Genomic DNA, 18996 nt, shown 5'->3' with positions numbered 1-18996 from the left:
ATTAATATTTTTTTAGACAGGGTCTCACTCTGTCGCCGAGGCTGGAGTGCAGTGGTGAGATTACAGCTTACTTGCCACCTTCACCTCCAGGGACATTCTTCACCATGGTTATCTGCAAAGACTATGACATGATGGAAATTTACAACTGGCTATAGTGTACTTTAGGTGATACGTAATGACTAGAAGAGTTTTGTAGTCTTAGTTCTTTTATTTCCTTAACTGTTGTAGCTGTTGGATTCTTTTTTTTTTTTTTTTTTTTTTTTTGAGACGGAGTCTCGCTCTGTCGCCCAGGCCGGACTGCGGACTGCAGTGGCGCAATCTCGGCTCACTGCAAGCTCCGCTTCCCGGGTTCACGCCATTCTCCTGCCTCAGCCTCCCGAGTAGCTGGGACTACAGGCGCCCGCCACCGCGCCCGGCTAATTTTTTGTATTTTTAGTAGAGACGGGGTTTCACCTTGTTAGCCAGGATGGTCTCGATCTCCTGACCTCATGATCCACCCGCCTCGGCCTCCCAAAGTGCTGGGATTACAGGCGTGAGCCACCGCGCCCGGCCTGGATTCTTAATATAGGATTTTTTATAAATAAATATAACTGAAAATTCATCAAGAAAAATCTTAGCAGAAACTGAAGTTGCACAGACAGTTAAAACCATGACTTGCAACGTTTCTTAGCTACTTCAGGATTTAACCTTACTCACCTTAGGAAAGGTAGTACCTAATGGCTGCTCTTATGCACAAATGATTGAAAACCATTGTTTGTGTTATATATTTATTGAGGGCTTTTGAAATTCTGACTTTACAGTTAATCACATGAGCCAAATAGGATTCCAGAGCTCTCTGAGAACTTCCACCTCAGCAGCAGTCCTTCTGTGCAAAGTATTTTCATCAATGGGCATTTCAGTCTCTGGCAAGGTGTAAGATCTATTTGAATCTCACAAAGACTGCTCTCTAAACAAAACCAGGATAAGAAAAGGGACCCAACACGTGATTCCAAATACCCACTCAAAATGTTTGTAAACGGTAGCATTCTGACTCAGATGATACCGTATTATTACAACTCAGAGAAGGTCTTTGAGGGCCATTCAATCCATCTTCTTGCTGAAAACCAGACAAATGTAACTCATTAATGACAAGTCATTGTCTCAATACTAAGAACTTTCCAAGAGAAAGAGGCTACAGTGTCCCTGTAACATGCTACCTGGCCACACTGACTTTTCCATTCTGAATTCCTAGTGAAATCTCTCAAAGCCATTCAAGAGTAAAGGTGTAAGGAGGTGCATGTGATCAACTTTCAGATTTTCTGCCTGCTGGTATATTATTCTCTAATTAACTAATTCCTCTATCAACTCTCTCCAACACATTTACCATGCCAAAGGAAAATATCAAAACCAGAAGAGAAAAACACAACACAGGGACCATCCTGCCTGAGTGTGAAGAAGGAAGATCACACATACATTGCTAAATTCCATAATACTCAAGGGCAGGACCAAGTTGATGACACAAACCACATCATGGAAATGACCATGTAGTGGGGAATTTAGAATTCCCACTAATGTATGGGGAGAAACGAAAGTAAAGAATGAGGTTGGAGGAGAAATCTAAGTGTTCAAAAATGGCACTAAACCTCAAAATTAACATACCTGAAGCTCTCTGGGATCATCAACTTAGTGGTCATGTATTTGAATAACATATGAAAGCCATCTGCAATAGTGGCAAGACAAGAGTCAGAGGAAAATTCTATATCCTGAGAATTGCAAGTTAATAGCAATTCAAATTCAGCAGTCACCCTTTGTAGATGAGTCAATTAGGGCTCAGGAAGTCTAAAAATGTACAGAATATTACTGGTTCAAACAAAATAATATTTCAATAGTAAGTACACCTTACTTAAAGTCAAAGGTTTTATTTCACATGCCAGGCTCCTACTCATCCATCATGGTGGTAAGCTCTCAGAAAAATTAATATCTTCTTTTCTCAAATGAGTAGAATAAAGTCTTTACAAGATAATCACAGAGATGTCTATGAAGAAGACCATCTAAGGTCAAGGCTGTAGTCTAACTGTCAAGATGCCAAGTTCATTGATGTGAATGTTTTGAACACAAGGAGTGACTTTCAATAACGTAGAAGAAGGTCTCAGAGAGATCTGGAGTCCACCTAGAGGTTGATTAATCCCAATTAATCATGGGATTAGCCATGGAGAAGTCAGAATTCTAAAATTTTGCAGTAAGTTTTGATGCAACGATAAATAAAATGGTTTCCAGTTTCTTATAAATAAGAGCAGCCTAATTAATTTCTACAACATACGGTTGTTTCAAGTATTTGCAAAGGCATAATATCCATGTAAAGCATAGAATGCATACAGTTGTTTAATACAGGGTTACACTAAATTAGATTCACATATCAAAACCCCACTGGAGAAAATGAAAATCCAATACTGTCAAATGCTATTTTTAGTATAATTTAAACTTCAGTTTCAGTTTCCTATGGCTGCCATGACAAAGTACCACAATCCAGGGGGCTGAAACAGCAAAAACTTATTGTCTCTCAGTTCTGGAGACAATAAATTTCTCTGAATTACGATACAAAAGTATCACAAGACCATGCTCTCTCTGAAAGGCCCTAGGGGAAGATCTGCTGCATGATTTTCTTTGAGCTTCTGCTAGTTCTTTGCCTTGTGGCAGCATTCCAACCTTCACATCCATGTCCTCACTTCTCTGGATGTCTGTGTTAAAATTTCCTCTTTCTATAAGGACACCTGTCATATTGGATTAGGGGCCCACCCTCCTACAGAATGACTCATCTTAACTAATCACATTTTCAATGACCGTATGTCCAATTAAGGCCACTTTCTGAGGTACTAGGGGTAAGGACATCAATGTATGGATTTAGGGGTACACTATTAATCCAGAAAAGTGGCTAAAATAAATTAAAGCCACAGGACAAATACTATGTCGTTTCAACCACGCTTCAACCTGCAACCCAATTAAGAACCTCTGCCTTAATATGTTCATGTTTGTTTTTTTCCAGATTGCTTCAAGTCACTAACTGTTTATTTTTTCACTTTGGCCTCCTTGCCACCTCCCACCAAATGTGAGAACTTGGTGTTTTGTAGCAACCCATATGTCCATCTCACTGACAATGTTTTTTGCTTTCATAAAGTACTTCAATCTTATAGCATGTGGGTGCATCCTAAGGAGGTATTTGTTATACATAATGTAAACTGTTTAGACTCATGTAGTCTGGTTTTGGTTAAAAGCAATTGTTTGAATAAGCATGGAAAAACCACACAGTCATGATGAGGTAATTTGGCCAAGCACACAATTCTCTCTAGGTGTAAACAGTCTACTCTTAAAAATGTTGCACCCTTTGCTGAGACCCTCAGCTTTATGCTGCTGACCTTTGCTTCATACCTAGACCTTGATTACTAATGACCCATTCTCTCCCAGGAGAAGGGTTCTTCATCCTAAACCTATATTCCCTGAACACTTATGTTCAGAAGAATTGATAAAGGCTTTTTCATCCATCAACAAGTTGGAATCAAAACTCATGTTTCAAAAGATGGCAGCCAGACAGTAACTCTAGCCCTCTCATTCGACAAATGAGCCTACTGATTGTAAGCAAGCCTACAATGATGTTTCTGCTGATGACACCACCACTGACTTCTACTTAGTAAGGTCACACTTAATCAACTGTATGTAACCTGAATCAAAAAGGGCTGCTTGGGCTGGAAGTGGTGGTTCACACCTGTAATCCCAGCACTTTGGGAGGCCGAGGAGGGTGCATCACGAGGTCAGGAGATCAAGATCATCCTGGCTAACAGGGTGAAACTCTGTCTCTACTAAAAATACAAAAAATTACAAAAAAAATTGGCCAGGCGTAGTGGCAGGTGCCTGTAGTCCCATTTACTCAGGAGGCTGAGTCAGGAGAATGGCATGAACTCAGGCAGCAGAGGTTGCAGTGAGGTGAGATTGCACCACTGCACTCCAGCCTGGGCGACAGAGTGAGACTCTATCTCTCTCTCTAACACACACACGCACACACACATGCACGCACACACAAAGACTGCTCGAAGAATGTCCAAGCTGGGGGATGGAGAATGGACAATTCCAAAGCTAGAACTTGGCACCTCTTATCAAGCAGAGAAAGGCACCAGAGAGAAGCCTGACATCATGACTAACTGAAACAGTGGCTTTCAAAGTGTGGTACTGGAACCAGTGACATCAGCCTCACCTAGAAGCTTTTGCAAATTCTGGTGATACACCTTACACTAGTAGAATCAAAACTCCTGGGCTGGAGAGCAGTGAGCTGTTTTACAAGTTGTCCAAATATGGCTGATCCCCACGCAAGCCTGAGATGCTTACTCTAACCTTCAGATAATGTGTCTTCCTTTGCTTCACGTGACTTCGTGAAATACACTCCAAATGACTCCCTTTGTTGTCTGTCCTCTAAGCATCCCTAGTAAATGACTGAGACCATCATTCAGCTCTTACAAGTCTCTTACAGGATTCTAGTCACTAAAAAAGAACAATCCTCTCTGTAAAGTACTAAGTTGATCTTTGCATGGGCTGGTTTCTTTTTCTGCAAGACTGACACTCAAGGTAACAACATTTGGCTGGTCTAGACCTTGCTGGCCTCTGCTGTCCTGGCCTCATCTCAGTGTCTGGCCATTTTCATATAGAGCAACTGTAGAAACATGTAATTTCTTGCTGGGGATGACAGTGAGGCAAAAGTAGACTTTAGCAAAAGAGTGCAAAGCAGACTTTAAAGGCCCTCTCCATCACCCAATTATTTTTCAAAATAGAGGCCTGACAGCTGCAAGGCTTGACAGCTGCAATATGTTATGTATATTTAGTTATTCCCACAAGGTGCATAACTGTCTGGTATCTGGCATGTTGACAAGCAAAAGCTAAGGATTAATGTTATCAACTACTTACACATATTAAGAGTACTGGATAACATGAGTTGAGAACTATTGTTATTATCACTATTACCATTTAAAAAAACTAATTGGAAAAAAACTTACTAGGCACCAGAGATAAAAACTGTCATTTCCATGTGCTTCCCTACTGAACATTTTAACAACACATTTTGGAATATCCCTGGTAATTCCTAGAAGTTGTTGTTTTCATGGTAAAGCAAAACATCCACCTTGCTATACACTTGTAAACTAGGAGATGTAGGACTTAGTTGAGCTTCATTTGTAGTAGGGAATGTCCAAGTGGGTAAAAACATGACTAAAAGTATGTGTTTTTCCCCTTCTAATTGACTTTACTAAGTGTCAGATTTTTGTCCCACTGTTTTCTTGTGATAAACACTTTTTCATTATGCTAATTTATTATTCATTAAAGAGTGCAGAATAATTCATTAAACTAGAGCACCTCTTGTCTATTATGCCCTGATTTACATTCTAAACCATTCATCATGATTCTGGGTTATTTTAATATAAACTTCAAAAGACCACATGTTTTAATGAAGGACCACTTGAGAAAAACCACTTGAGAAAAATGTTCAGTAGGGAAGCACAAGGATTAAATGTAATACAAATCAAAAGAGCAATAACCCCAAGAAAAAAAGTTTAATTTGCAAAAAAATAAAATTCATCCCAAGAAAAATGGGTTCATTGCAGAATTAGAAGCATGTCTGAAAAGTCAGGTATGTTTTCCCAATAGAACACATTCTCTGAAATTAAATTACTTTTTTCTTTAACCTTACACAATATTTATCCAGGATTTCAAATTTCAATTTAAAATTCTACTTGATCTTATCATATGCATCATATGGAAATAAGAAATCTTTTTTTTTTTTTTTAAGGAGACAAGATCTCTCTGTCACCTCAGCTGGAGTTCAGAGGCTGAATCATAATCATAGCTCACTGTAGCCTCAACCTTCTGGGCTCAAGCAATCCTTCCGCCTCAGCCTCCCAAGTAGCAAGGATTAGAGGAGGCATGCAACACCATGCCTATTTTTTTTTTTTTTTTTTTTTGTAGATATGGGCTCTCACTTTGATATGCAGGCTGATCTCAAACTTTCAACCTCAAGTGATCCTCCCATCTCAGTCTCCCAAAGCACTGGGATGACAGGCTTGAGCCACCACGGCCACCCAGAATAGGAAATCTGTAAGTAACTAACAAAAGCACACATGAGAGATCTACATGTCATGCTCTACTGAACTAGATACTTCAAAACAAACTGGAATAAGTCTATTAAATTAAAAGTTTAAGTTTTTAAATCTCTTTTTTTGGAGGTGGAGGGGTCTCTCAGACCAGACTGTAGGGCTCTGGGGATCTAGGGTTACACACTGTTCATTTTATTTTATCTTTTGTAGCAATGTGGGTCTCACCATGTTGCCCAGGCTAGATGAGAACTCCTGGGCTGTGATCATCCCTCCTCAACCTCTCAAGCGGCTGGGGCTACAGGCATGTACCACACTATATTTGAATCCCAGGATCGTGACCACCAGGCACACCCTCTGGGCCTCACTCAACCTGATGACAGCCAGCATGTCTGTAGAGCCAAATAAGAGGCTCTGTTCTGAGTAAATTGCATGGCATCCCAGAAAACTCTTTGAAGCAGCACCACCATCAAAATGTAGGCAAAGGTCTGAGAGAGAGGGCAGAGAAACAGTCTTCAGAAAGGAAAAGAAGTTTACTTGCAAAGAAGTCCCCAAAACAGGATACCTTAGGACCAGCTCACCAACAGAAATAAGGATAATGTGAATTTAAAGAAGAAGATGCAGCATAACTAAGTTTGCACAACTCTGCTCACAGGTAAAACCATCCATCTACTTATACAATCATGCTCACATGCCACAACACACCTTCACAATCAGGGTTGCTAAAGACACAAGGAAAGTGAGGTTTCTGTTTAAGAGAGAGAAACTTAACAGAACTCTAAAAGGTCTCATTTATTCAGAAGATGAAAACTTGTCAGGCTAACCCTGTCCTTTTGTGGTGATCTCAGGGCAACCTTCTCCTCTGAGTATGAATGAGGATGTCCATATCTCCCCATAAGCAAGAGAGTTCATAGCATCAGTTTTAATTCCAGAGTTACATACAGCAGAGATCTAAGTGTAGAAAGGGACAGAATCAGAGTAAGGCACCAGCGCTCTAGATACACACTGTGCTCTGGATTACCCCACCATCACCTCTCATGGCTTCCCATCTCTGAGCTAGTGCCACCTGATGCCTCCCTTGTCTGTGCACCCCAGAAGCCCAACACCAGCTAAAATCCCTCAGGAATGGAGGTGCATGCCTGGTCATCTGCCAACTCCAGCACTTAGCAGAGTCTGACACAGCACAGATCCTTAACGTTTCCTGAGAACCAGAAGCTAAACCATGTCATGCCTGCCAGAATATCTGCCATAGAGTGCAAGCAAAACATATACATAAATAGAGATAGACACAGAAATACAGACCCAGAGACAGAGATGGAAGGTGACACAGACATAGATATGGAGATCCCAATACAGATATTGAAGCAGACACACATTACATAGATCCAGAGAGATATTCAGTAGAAAGAGACAGGACTAGAGCAGTGGTTTTCAACAAAGGTGACTGTGCCCCTAGAACACATTGTGATGTTTGGAGACAACAGTTATCTCATGACTAGGGGTGGGAAGGATGGTACCAGCATTGAGTTGGGAGAGGCCGGGCAGAACCATTGAAATGCACAGGACAGCCCCTCCACTCAAAAAAGAAGAATCTGCTCCAAAACGTTCAAAGTGCCAAGTTTAACAAACCCCTAAACTAGACACACATGTATAATATACACACAGAAAAATATATGGAAATTGAAGTCCAGCTCTAATTTCATGTGGTTATGTAAAAAATGAACCTCCATCATTTTTTCAACATTGTAGAGTAATAAATGGAACTAGAGTAGGCAAATCTTGCCCTATTAAAAATAGGTTTAAAATATTACAAAAATCTATGGGTCCTAGATAATAGAAAAATGAAAATACTGATGGCCAACTAGTCTAACATGGTTTCACCTCTAAATATTTTTTCTTTTTTTTTTTTTTTGAGACGCGATCTCTCTGTGTCACCAAGCTAGAGTGCAGTGGGATAACCTCTGCTCACCGCAACCTCTGCCTCCCAGGTTCAAGCCATTCCCCTGCCTCAGCAAGCCATTCCCAATTAGCTGGGACTGCAGGTGCACACCACCAAACCCGGCTAATTTTTTTAGACAGGGTTTTGCCAGTTGGCCAGGACGGTCTCGATCTCCTGACCTCGTGATCCGCCAGCCCCAGCCTCCCAGAGTGCTGGGATTACAGGCTTAATTCACCACACCCGGCCTCTAAATATTTTTCTAATGTTGATTGTGATACTTAAGCAGAGAATATATTCTACCCAGATTTTTTAGAAAATATCTTTGCAGTTGTGAGGACATTAGCTCATTACTCTGGACATAAAAATGTGGAAACAACAAAAACAACTAAAAGATGTTCTCTACTTTCTTTTAAATTCTGGCCCAATGGGGAAAAAAAGTATTTCCCAGATGCAGGCCATTTCTGGAATGATGACCACTACTAGGTTTGGCTGTACTGCTTTCAAAATGGTAGAGCCAAATGTCAAAATAGAAAGAGAGGGAGAGGGAAAAGGGAAAAAAAAAGAGAGAGCAGAAGAGAGCAAGAAGATAGAATACATTCCTACTCAAAGATGTGACGGGCTGACTGGGCACAGTGCTGTAATCCCAGCACTTTTGGAAGCCCCAGATGGGAAGATCTCTTGAGGCCAGAAGTTCAAGACCACCCTGGGCAACATAGCAAAGCCCTGTCTCTATTTTAATAAAAGAAAAACTCAAACCTAGGCAATATAGTAAGAACCTGTCTCTACAAAAAGTTAAAAAATTAGCCAAGCATGGTGGTGCATGCCTATAGTCCCAGCTACTTGGAAGGCTGAGGTGGAGGGATCACTTAAGCCAGTGAGTTTGAGGCTGCTGTGAGCCATTATTCCACCACTGCACTCCAGCCTGGGTGACAGAGTGAGACCCAACCTCAATAAATAAATAAATTAAATAAATAAAAATTAAAATTTAAAAAATAAATGATTAAACAAAAGATATGATGGCACTATCCATCAAGGATATGTGGGACACAAATTTTAGATTTTCAAGGCAAAGTTCTAGTTCGAAATGACTTTTCTGTGTTGAGAATATGGCCTAACTCTTGTCAACCAACTGGAGTGCAGTGGTACCACTGGAGCTCAATGCAGCCTCGAACACCTGGACTCAGGCGATCTTCCTACCTCAGCCTCTCAAAGCACTGGGAGTACAGGCATGAGCTACCACGCCTGGCCCCAGATAGCTTTAATAGCCCAAAACATGGAAAAGGAAATGGGAAACAAAGTAGCCACCTTCAATGACTGTTTTTGATGGTGGACACCACCCTAGGTGACATCTCTGTCCCTTTTTGCCACAGATGAAATTTAAAGAACCACAGTTGGCAACTGGCCTCCCATTTTCTTTTCATTCTCTCTGAAAAGAGTCAATAACTTCTGTATGAACTTGTCATTATTGGCATCAACAGGATTGGCTTCTACAGGATTGGTTTTGACTCTAGGGGACAGGAGCCAATGCTGTGATGTGGTTTGTGATTCTGCCTTTATGTGGTCATTCATATGGCAGGAATGGGTAACCTCTGTTGTCTGGTGGCCATCACATCTCCTTACAACTGCGTAGTTCTCTGCTCCTAGTTTTAGGTACACTTACGCTTCTACAATGAGCAAAACTCTGTCCACTGGGGAGAAATGACCACCAAGCAAGAAATAAAACACAGCAGGCAGAGACAAAAGTAAGTATCCAGCCATGAAGAATAAAAGGTGGAAATCTAAGCACCACATCAGAAGTTGTCTGCAGAGTTTTCAGAAAGTATTCCTACACTTCCAGTTGTGGGGATGATTCTATTATCACTATTTCCTATGACTGTAAAGCATCTTTCAATTTGCAGTCTGCATGAGTCTTATCAGTTGGAAAGCAAGCTAATGACCCTCTTTGTTATACTGGGCTTGTTATAACAGCACTGAGGACCTGAGTTACCTGATGGGGTGACAGGTATCAATATAAGCTGTGTATCCTGTTCAAAATCTCTCTCTGTATTTTTGGTTTACAGGTTTTGGTCAACTTACTTTCTGGTCTACGTGGTATAACAAGGCATCCACATTTCAGAAGAATCTTGTTACTTCCAATAGCATAGGCATTTAAAGACAGAGGCTGGGACATTTGTGTAAGTCTAGATAAGACTGTCTCTTGAAATTATGCCCTATTACAGAATTAAACAAGAGTAAATAAACTTTCTTTGAATGAACTATTCAAAGAACTCAACAGTTACACAGTGAATAGGTGAAATTGCTTTTAACCTGAGAGATTTATTTTTATTTTTACACGTAGACTTCCTCAATTGTTTCCATCTTTCTTTCAGAGAAAAGGTCAATTAAAAATGTAACTTGGTGGCTCATGCCTGTAATCCCAGCACTTTGGAAGGCCAAGGCAGGTGGATTGCCTGAGTTCAGGAGTTCAAGACCAGTTTGGGCAACATGGTGAAACCCAGTACCTACTAAAAATACAAAAAAAATTAGCCAGGCATGGTGGCATTGCCTGTAATCCCAGCTACTTGGGAGGCTGAGGCAGGAGAATCGCTTGAACCTGGGAGGCTGAGGTTACAATGAGCTGAGATTGTGCCACTGCACTCAAGCCTGGGTGATAGAGCGAGACTCTGCCTTCAAAAAAACAAAGAAAAAAACAATGTAACTCATGGGCCTGGCACAGTGGCTTACACCTATAATCCCAGCTCTTTAGGAGGTGGAGGCAGGTGAAATGCGCATAGTAGCGCGCACCTGTAATCCCAGCCACTCATAAGGCTGAGGCATGAGAACTGCTTGAATGTGAGAGGCAGAGGTTACAGCGAGCCAAGGTTGTGCCACTGCACTCTCCAGTCTGGACAACAGAGCAAGACTCTGTCTCCAAAATAAAAAGAATGTAACTCATGGGGTTTATTGTTAGATAGACACCTTGTTTGCACTGGAGAGAAGAAAGAATACCAAAATTAATGTTGTGTGTACGAAACATATGAATTATTAATGTACCAGAATCCTATAGTGAATTAAGAAAAAAAAAAGTTGTGAACTGAGAACAAAAATGAGGAGAAAACATTCATACATTTCATAAGAAATGAATTCCCATCTAATCCAAGGGAAAAGAATCCCTTGGATTACTTTGCAAAATTAATGTTTCTAATTCCATCAAATAGGCTTTCTGTTTTGCCTTCTCTTCTGAACTTTATGAAATTGCCACATCTCCAGATGTAACCAAAAATTAGCTATGAAAGTCAAAATGTAATCCATGATCATTGGATAATAAATAGAAGTACGAGAAAGACATATTGTTCCCTTAAGGTGATTGAAATCATGTTCATTGGAATTAGGAAAAAACATCCCCCTTAAATACAAATTAATATCACCATACATTAGGTTTTTTTTGTTTGTTTGTTTTGAGACAGTCTTGCTCTCTCAAGAGGCTCGAATGCGGTGGCACGAGAGGCTCACTGCAACCCCTGCCTCCTGCCTGGGTTTAAACGATTCCCTGCCTTAGCCTCCAGAGTACCTGGGACTACAGGCCTGCATGATGATGCCCAGCTAATTTTTTGTATTTTCGTAGAGACAGGGTTTCACCATGTTGGCCAGGATGGTCTAGATCTCCTGACCTCATGATCTGCCTGCCTCGGCACCCCAAAGTGCTAGGATTACAGGCGTGAGCCACTGCGCCTGGCTGTGACTTTTTCAAATTGAGACAGAGTCTGGCTGTGTCACCCAGGCTGGAGTGCAGTGGCAAAATCTTGGCTGACTGCAACCTCTGCCTCCTGAGTTCAAGTGATTCTCCTGCCTCAGCCTCCCAAATAGCTGGGATTACAGGTCAGGTTCCCATGACCATGCCCAGCTAATTTTTGTATTTTTAATAGAGACAGGATTTCACCATGTTGGCCAGGCTGGTCTCAAACTCCTGGTGTCAAATGATCCGCCCACCTCGGACTCCCTAGGTGCTAGGATCACAGGTGTGAGACACCAGGCCTGGCCCATTATATGACCTTTTAAGTAGTGATAACATATCTGCCTTATCTTTACAAGAAGGAGGGTAATTAATATGAAACACATAATTATATATTTTTGAGCTCACTAACGCAATATTATTTTCCTGAAGAGCAATAAAACCCTATGAAATAAAAAAGTTACAATTTAAAAAAAAAGGGTAAACAGAATGTGAATTAAGACTTTCAATTAGTTGCTGGATTCTTTCTAAGCCTTTTGATGGGGTATTGTTTCTCAGACTCCCCTGTGGAAAGGTTTTACAGCTTTGGGGATTAAAGAACCCCCAAACTTCACATCTTTACCATCTTGGTCTCAGGAGCAGGCTTGACAAGTTTCAAAATTCTTTTTTTGAAAGATTTCCTCATTGCCTAACTTTATATTTTGCAGAGATGCCAGAAAAAATTATAAAATGTAAACGCACACACACACACCCAAACCCCAAACAAAAGACAGTGAAGCAAGCCTGTCAGGCACTCTCAGCTTGTGGAAATGGCTGTCACATACATATAAGCTACAATTACCACACATGTCCCACCACCGTACACAACAGCAACACAGCTGAGAAGGCAGACATTGTGACTTATTATTCACAGACAGCAAACATCCCCTGTGATATGCAGGACTCCAGTTTCTTGGAACATTTACCCAAGAATCTCGATAAAACTCTGCCATTTCATTACAGGCATGGAAAATTGGATGGGCCTAAACAAAAACAATTGACAAAAGGAAAAAAGACTTTCTTCATCTGAAAAATATCAATACCTTTGATCATGTTAAATTACTATATTTAAGGATTTAAAAGTCGATTCATGTTCAAAATAGTTTCTTTCTTCATGTCAACAACTTGCAGCAATTTTATTAAATGCCTCTCCAGTAGAAAATAATTATCTTAACCAGTCACGGTGCCTCACACCTGTAATCTCAGTACTTTGGGAGGCTGAGGCAAGAGGATCACTGGAGGCCAGGAGTTTGAAACTAGCCTGATCAACATAGAAAGATCTCATCTCTAGGAAAAAAAAAAAAACTTAGAAAAAACTATTAGCCAGGTATGGACTTTATATACCTATAGTCCTATTTAGTCAGGAGGCTGAGGTGAGAGGATTTCTTGAGCCTATGAGTGCAAAGCTACAGTGAGATATAATCATGCCACTTCAGCCTAAGTGACAAAGGGAGATCTTGTCTAAAAAATAAAAATAAAAAAAAAAACTTTTTAAAGAAATTAATTGTTGTGGAGCCAAGAAGCACATCTCACATATGCTGGGGTCTCACAATCTAAGATACCTGAAAGATGGTTGTATTTTGCAGATTCTTATGGGTTAGAAGAAGAATTGGGTGGGTACATGCACCAGTCCATCAATAACACCAGGATGTTGTTGATGGACTGATATTTTTCAAGCCTTCTTCCATAACACCAGCAACATTTTCAGTTGTCCTCACCTGTGCAACTGTGGTGCAAAACTGCCTCCAGAAGCCAATAAGTGAGTAAGAAGGGGGAAAAGGAGGCTGTTCGTCTCTTGGCTTACAGTTGGACACAACTTCTGAATCAGTGGGGTCTGACTCAGAAGCTTTCTGGAATTTCTGAGCCACAGGATTGAAGGTGTTTAGCATTGTGTTTTGCAGAGTTTTGGGGTTGACAAAGTTGTTTCACATAAACTACATATTTGACTGTTCCAACTACTCTGTGAGGTCAGGAATGTTATTTTCTTTTACAGATAAGAAAACTGAAGGCCTGAGAGTGAGATTGCAAAGGCTCCATAGCAGAAACTCAAGTCTTTATTGTTGCATTCCTAGATGTTTGAACTCAATGAACCCACTTCTTAGAATGTTAACAGTGAGAGAAGACAGAGTGGAAACAGCACTCTGTTATGATCCAGAAGCAGTCAGTTGTCAGGGAACCAGGATGGCATTTCTCACTCACTTATTGGCTTCTGGAGGCAGTTTTGCACCACAGTTGCACAGGTGAGGACAACTGAAAAGGTTGCTGGTGTTATGGAAGACGGCTTAAAAAATATCATTCCACCAACAACATCCTGACTGGTGGTACACGTACCCACCCAATTTCCTTCTACTGGAAAAGGAATTGGCATTTATCACCTCTTTTAAAATATTTCAGAAAACTCCCCAAAATAACCCATTTTCCTAAGATGATGGTGCAAAGTATTCATTTTATTAATTGCCTCTGGTCATGGAGGAGACCTAAAGATAATCTAAAGCTTGAAAGAGTTATGGATATATTTGATTAATGAAAAGAGGAAAAACTAGGTCATACTTAACAAATGTCACATGTTGATACACAACCTGCTTTCAAAATATGGAGCCCAGGGTAAGTTAAATAGAAATGTTGAAAAGTAGCTGACCAGAATCCTAAGGCTCTGTAAGCTTAGACCATGCACAGAAATTCTATGGTTTACACAAGGCATTGCATGATGCACTTTCAGTTTTTTCTGGTCATATTTCATAGATAAAATGCCTTTGGATAATATGGATATGCTTCATTAACTGCTGTCCAAAACCTCCCCTCCCCCAAAAATGGTGTAAGAGTCAGGGTTCTGGAAAGCAGTACAAACTTATCCATAGATTTAATACAAGCAGTGCCCCATAACACTTTCATAAGTCTCTCTACCGTAGTCCTAACATTTTATACCATTCACTGAAACATACCAGCCAGGTTAGAACATAAAATGTGATGTAAAACTTGTAAAACACCCAGCAGAGTGGCTGCTTCTTAGTAATCTTCCAGGCAGAGCGAGCTGCTGTATTACCATTGCGTATATTATTCCAACACGTTTCGTGTCCTGATTGCATCTTGCAGGGCAGGTGCTTCTGTCCCCCACTGGATGCATGAGGGGTTGATATTCAGGAAGATGGTGTAATCCACCCTACCTACCCATATACAAAGCAGCAGAGCCTGGGTGCAGAGCAGATCTGCCCAGCCCCAAAGCCCACTTCCCTGTTCCATAGCTCACAGACTCATAGCTCCTCTTCACTCTGCTAACCTCCTACATGTATTATATTTTTGAGCCTGAATTAGCTCCATGCTGAATGCCCTGGACAAAGCATCCTGGAGCCAGATACCGACATTTCAGGAGGTGGTAACATTCACTGTTCCTTTTCATGAATGAAGGGAAGCATTCAGTTGTGAAATAATTGGGTTTCCATCCCATCTTCCTTTCTGTATGACATTCTAAAGAATTCCAGGTCAGAGCAGTGCTGGATTACTCAGGTACTCTTGGTTTGCATTCCCACCTTCATGCCTCAGTACTGAGTCCCTTGTGTTTTCAGGAGTGGTTGACAGCCACTGCATGCAGGTGTGGCAGAAGCAGCCTGCAGACCTGGAGGTACTAGGTATGCACATCTACCCACTGCTTTTCTGTCTTGTTGCTGAAGTGCTGGGCAGTGGAGAAAAGTGGGGACAACTAGGGCGGAGACTATTAGAGTCTAGATTCCTCTGCTGAAGAGGAAAGTCACAGCAGGCTGACAACAGCAGGTCACAGCCCCAGGGAATCTGAGTCACTGCCTATACCACAAGTGCATAAGTTGTGCTCTCCTGAGGCAAAGCCTGACAGCTTTCATACTTGAAAGTCCACATACCTGGCTGGCATCCAGGCTGGAGGCCAGGCAATCTTCTCCCATCCTTAAACATGGCCTGAAACTGTGCAAGAGAAGATGGAAACAGGCATGTGCTCCAGAGACAGCTTTCTGGATGGGCTCATTTGCAGGAGTTGGAGGTGTGGGGTGACCCTGTAGAAAAAGAGTCTTCCTAAGACTTCTTGTAGCCCAGCCTTTACAAGTAGATTAATAAACACCACATGCGGTGTCATGAGTTGGTGGACATGGGGTTCCACTATGTTGGCCACACTGGTCTCCAACTCCTGACCTCAAATGATCCGCCTGCCTCAAGTACAGGGATTACAGTCCTTGAGCCACTGCATCCGGCCCATCTTCCTTCTTTTTTTTTTTTTTTTTTTTTTTTTTTTTTTTTTTTTTTTTTTGAGACAGAGTTTCGCTCTTTCACCCAGGCTGGAGTAGAGAAGTGGCGCAATCTCAGCTTACTGCAACCTCCACTTCCTCAGCTTCTGGAGTAGCTAGAATTATAGGTGCCTGCCACCACACCCAGCAAATTTTTTTGTATTTTTAGTAGAGACAAAGTTTCACCATGTTGGCCATGCTGGACTTGAACTCCTGACCTCTGGTGATCCACCTACCTCGGCCTCCCAAAGTGCTAGGATTACAGGCATGAGCCAGCGTGCCTGGCCCATCTTCCTTCTAATTATTACAAAAAAAAAAAAAAAAAAAAAAAAAAAAAAAAAAAAAGCCAAGCGATGGGGAACAGGGAAGCTTGGGGTTTTGTAAAGAGAGTGTGTTGCTGTCTTTTCAGATCTTAAGAAAGCTTAATCCCTGCCATTTAGATAAATCAATTTAAGCATTACCAGGTTAGGGTTAAAGCTTGAAGAATGGCCTTGCAATTGATGACAAACACAGCACTTATTAAGTCCTAACTAATTTGCAGCTTATGTCACCCCCAGCTAATTAAAATGTAATTGGGATTCTCCAGCAATGTGCATTCTGTCAGCAGTTTTTCTTCCGAAGAGAAATCATGCCTTTCTCGGGGAAATGGCTTCATCTAAGCTGCTGCTTTAGCCACTGAAACTGTAAAACAAATAAATAACAGCACTGACAATTTAATTGAAAAAAAAAAAAAAAAAAAAAAGCCTATTCCCCGGGAATAGGCTGCTCTGTTTTGTTTTCTGCAATAGTGTGGCATCTTCTCAGGAGAGCGACTTTCATGGTAGGGCACAGAGGGTTGGAAACAAGGTGACTGGGGACGGGCTCTCTCCTGGCTCTATCCAGGATGTCTGGGTAATTTCACCACAGAAGTGAGCACTGGGTCTTCCATTCCCTGAAGACTCAGGAGGAGTGCAGAGTGTGCCCATTTCTCTGACTCCCCGGAGACGCTCCTTCTATTATTTAGAACAAACACAACGGGCACACTCGAGCACGCGCCAGCTTTGCCAGCAGGTTTAAGATCGTCCCCAAGGGCTACGGGGAACCACTTCCACACTCCACCCTTATAATATCGCCTCCTCTGGCAGCTTAATTTCCAGGGCCCTCACTTGACCCCCTCCCCTCCCCGGCAGGAGAGGCCCCGAGATTAAGAGCCAAGGGTTTGCTTTCCAGTTCCCGCCCAGCCAGGAAGCCAGCCTTCCTAACAAGCACCTACCTCTCCTTTTGGTCCCCCCAGAATTTCCCTGAGGCGAGACGGTGGAAACTTGGAACAGGTGGGCACCTACAGACAGAGGTAAGAATGACAGGAGAGGTGAAAAATATACGCAGGGTTTCAGAACTCGCGTGCTCGACAGGGCTGGGAGAGGCAGCAGCTGTACTCTGCACCCCCTGAGTCCGAAACCTGCCATAGTGTGCCCACCCGCACCCAGAGCCTCCGCGCAGGCCCCGCGGGGGTCCATGCCACGGGGCAGGGTCCGGGCAACCCTCAGGAGCCAAGCGCGCGGTTCCCGTAGACTCCCACACACGCGACCAAGCGCACACACACACTCCTCTACTCGCCGGCTAAAAGAACCTAAGTATGGGGTTTGGGGGACAGTGACCTTGGAGCCTGTCTCTGGCGTATCCAAACACCGTCCTGCCAAATCCCCTGTCCCCGGCACTTCTCTGACGCTCTACGCTAGTGTACAAGACCTTGAATCTTTAGGGACTCCGAAATGAGGCGCGCGGAGCCACCTGCACCCTCCAACACGCGCATACACGCACCCTGGAACACGACTTGGCACAAGTGCCGTGGCTGGGGAATCCACGGGTGGGTAGCGAGCTCTCGGCCCGCGGATGGTGAAAAATCATCGTTCAAAAGAGAAAAAGTGTCGGCCTGCGGGCACCTGCGGAGCTGGGGCTCGTGGCAAGGTCCCCGGGCGCAGCTGGGCGCAGCGGGGTGCGCCTCCCGGACTCTCTCCCAGTGCTCCTGAGCACCTGGGACTTTGCGGGAGTCGACACCCGCCTGGAATCTCGGGCACTCAATTCCCGGGAAACAGCTACATCCACACACCCACCCTCGGCATTCACGACTCTCCCTCCCCAGGAAAATCGCCTTTGGTTTCCTGCTGGGAAGGACAAGACTGGGGCAGGACGCCTCGGGCTTCTTTTTCGTATCGGGAGCCGGGAGGAGGCTGGAAAACACGATTTAAGCACCCCGACTGTAAGATCCACGCCCAGGAGAAGCCAGGTCAGCTCGCTGCGCTGGCCGAAAACTTTTCGCGCCTAGGCTGGTCGGCGCGCGCCCGGGTGCACTCTCGCGCCCGGGTGCACTCCCGCCGCGGCCGCAGCACCAGAAAGAACCCGGGGCGGGCGGGAGTCTCCACTAACCTGGAAGTGCTGGAAGAAGGCAGAGATGCGTATGATTGGCAAGCTTAGGCACCTGGAGGCGCAGCGGGCGCGCAGGACGCTCCCGGCAGACAGCGACTCGTCCAGCAGCTGAGCAGCAGCTGCTCCGGGGCCGGCCGCCAGGCAGCCCTCCGAGGCCTCCAGCCAGAGGCAGAGGGTCAGGACCGCGCCGGGCACCTCGGGCACCATGGCTGCCGATCGGATGCGAGGGCGCCGGGCGCTGGCCGATGCTCCATGCTCCTCGCCGGGGCCGCACTCTGGGGACCCAGCAGCCGCAACGACCACGCCGGAAAGTTTGATACTTCAAATCCAGCCAGGCCTTCCCAGCCAACCTCCCTCCTTGCTTGCCCTCCAGGGGTGGCATGAGAAGGACAGGCGGCCGCGCCATTGGCTGGAAGGCGTGTGACAGGAGGGGCGGACGCAGGGCCCGTGGGCGGGTCTCTGGGAATGAGACCCCGGACACTCAGCTGAAGGGTGATGTCGGAAGACCCCACGCAGTCGCCTCCCCGTCCGCACCAACCGCTT

General features: G+C 43.6%; 1 pseudogene; it reads right to left on the bottom strand.

The window, feature by feature from the left end:
* Positions 1-18753, bottom strand: part of ANOS2P (anosmin 2, pseudogene) — a 168317-nt pseudogene extending 149564 nt beyond the window's left edge.

This window comes from Homo sapiens, chromosome Y, assembly GCF_000001405.40.
Source record: "Homo sapiens chromosome Y, GRCh38.p14 Primary Assembly".
NCBI classification, from domain to species: Eukaryota; Metazoa; Chordata; class Mammalia; order Primates; family Hominidae; genus Homo; species Homo sapiens.
Note: the sequence above shows the minus strand (reverse complement) of the source record. Positions and strands in the feature narration are given on the sequence as shown.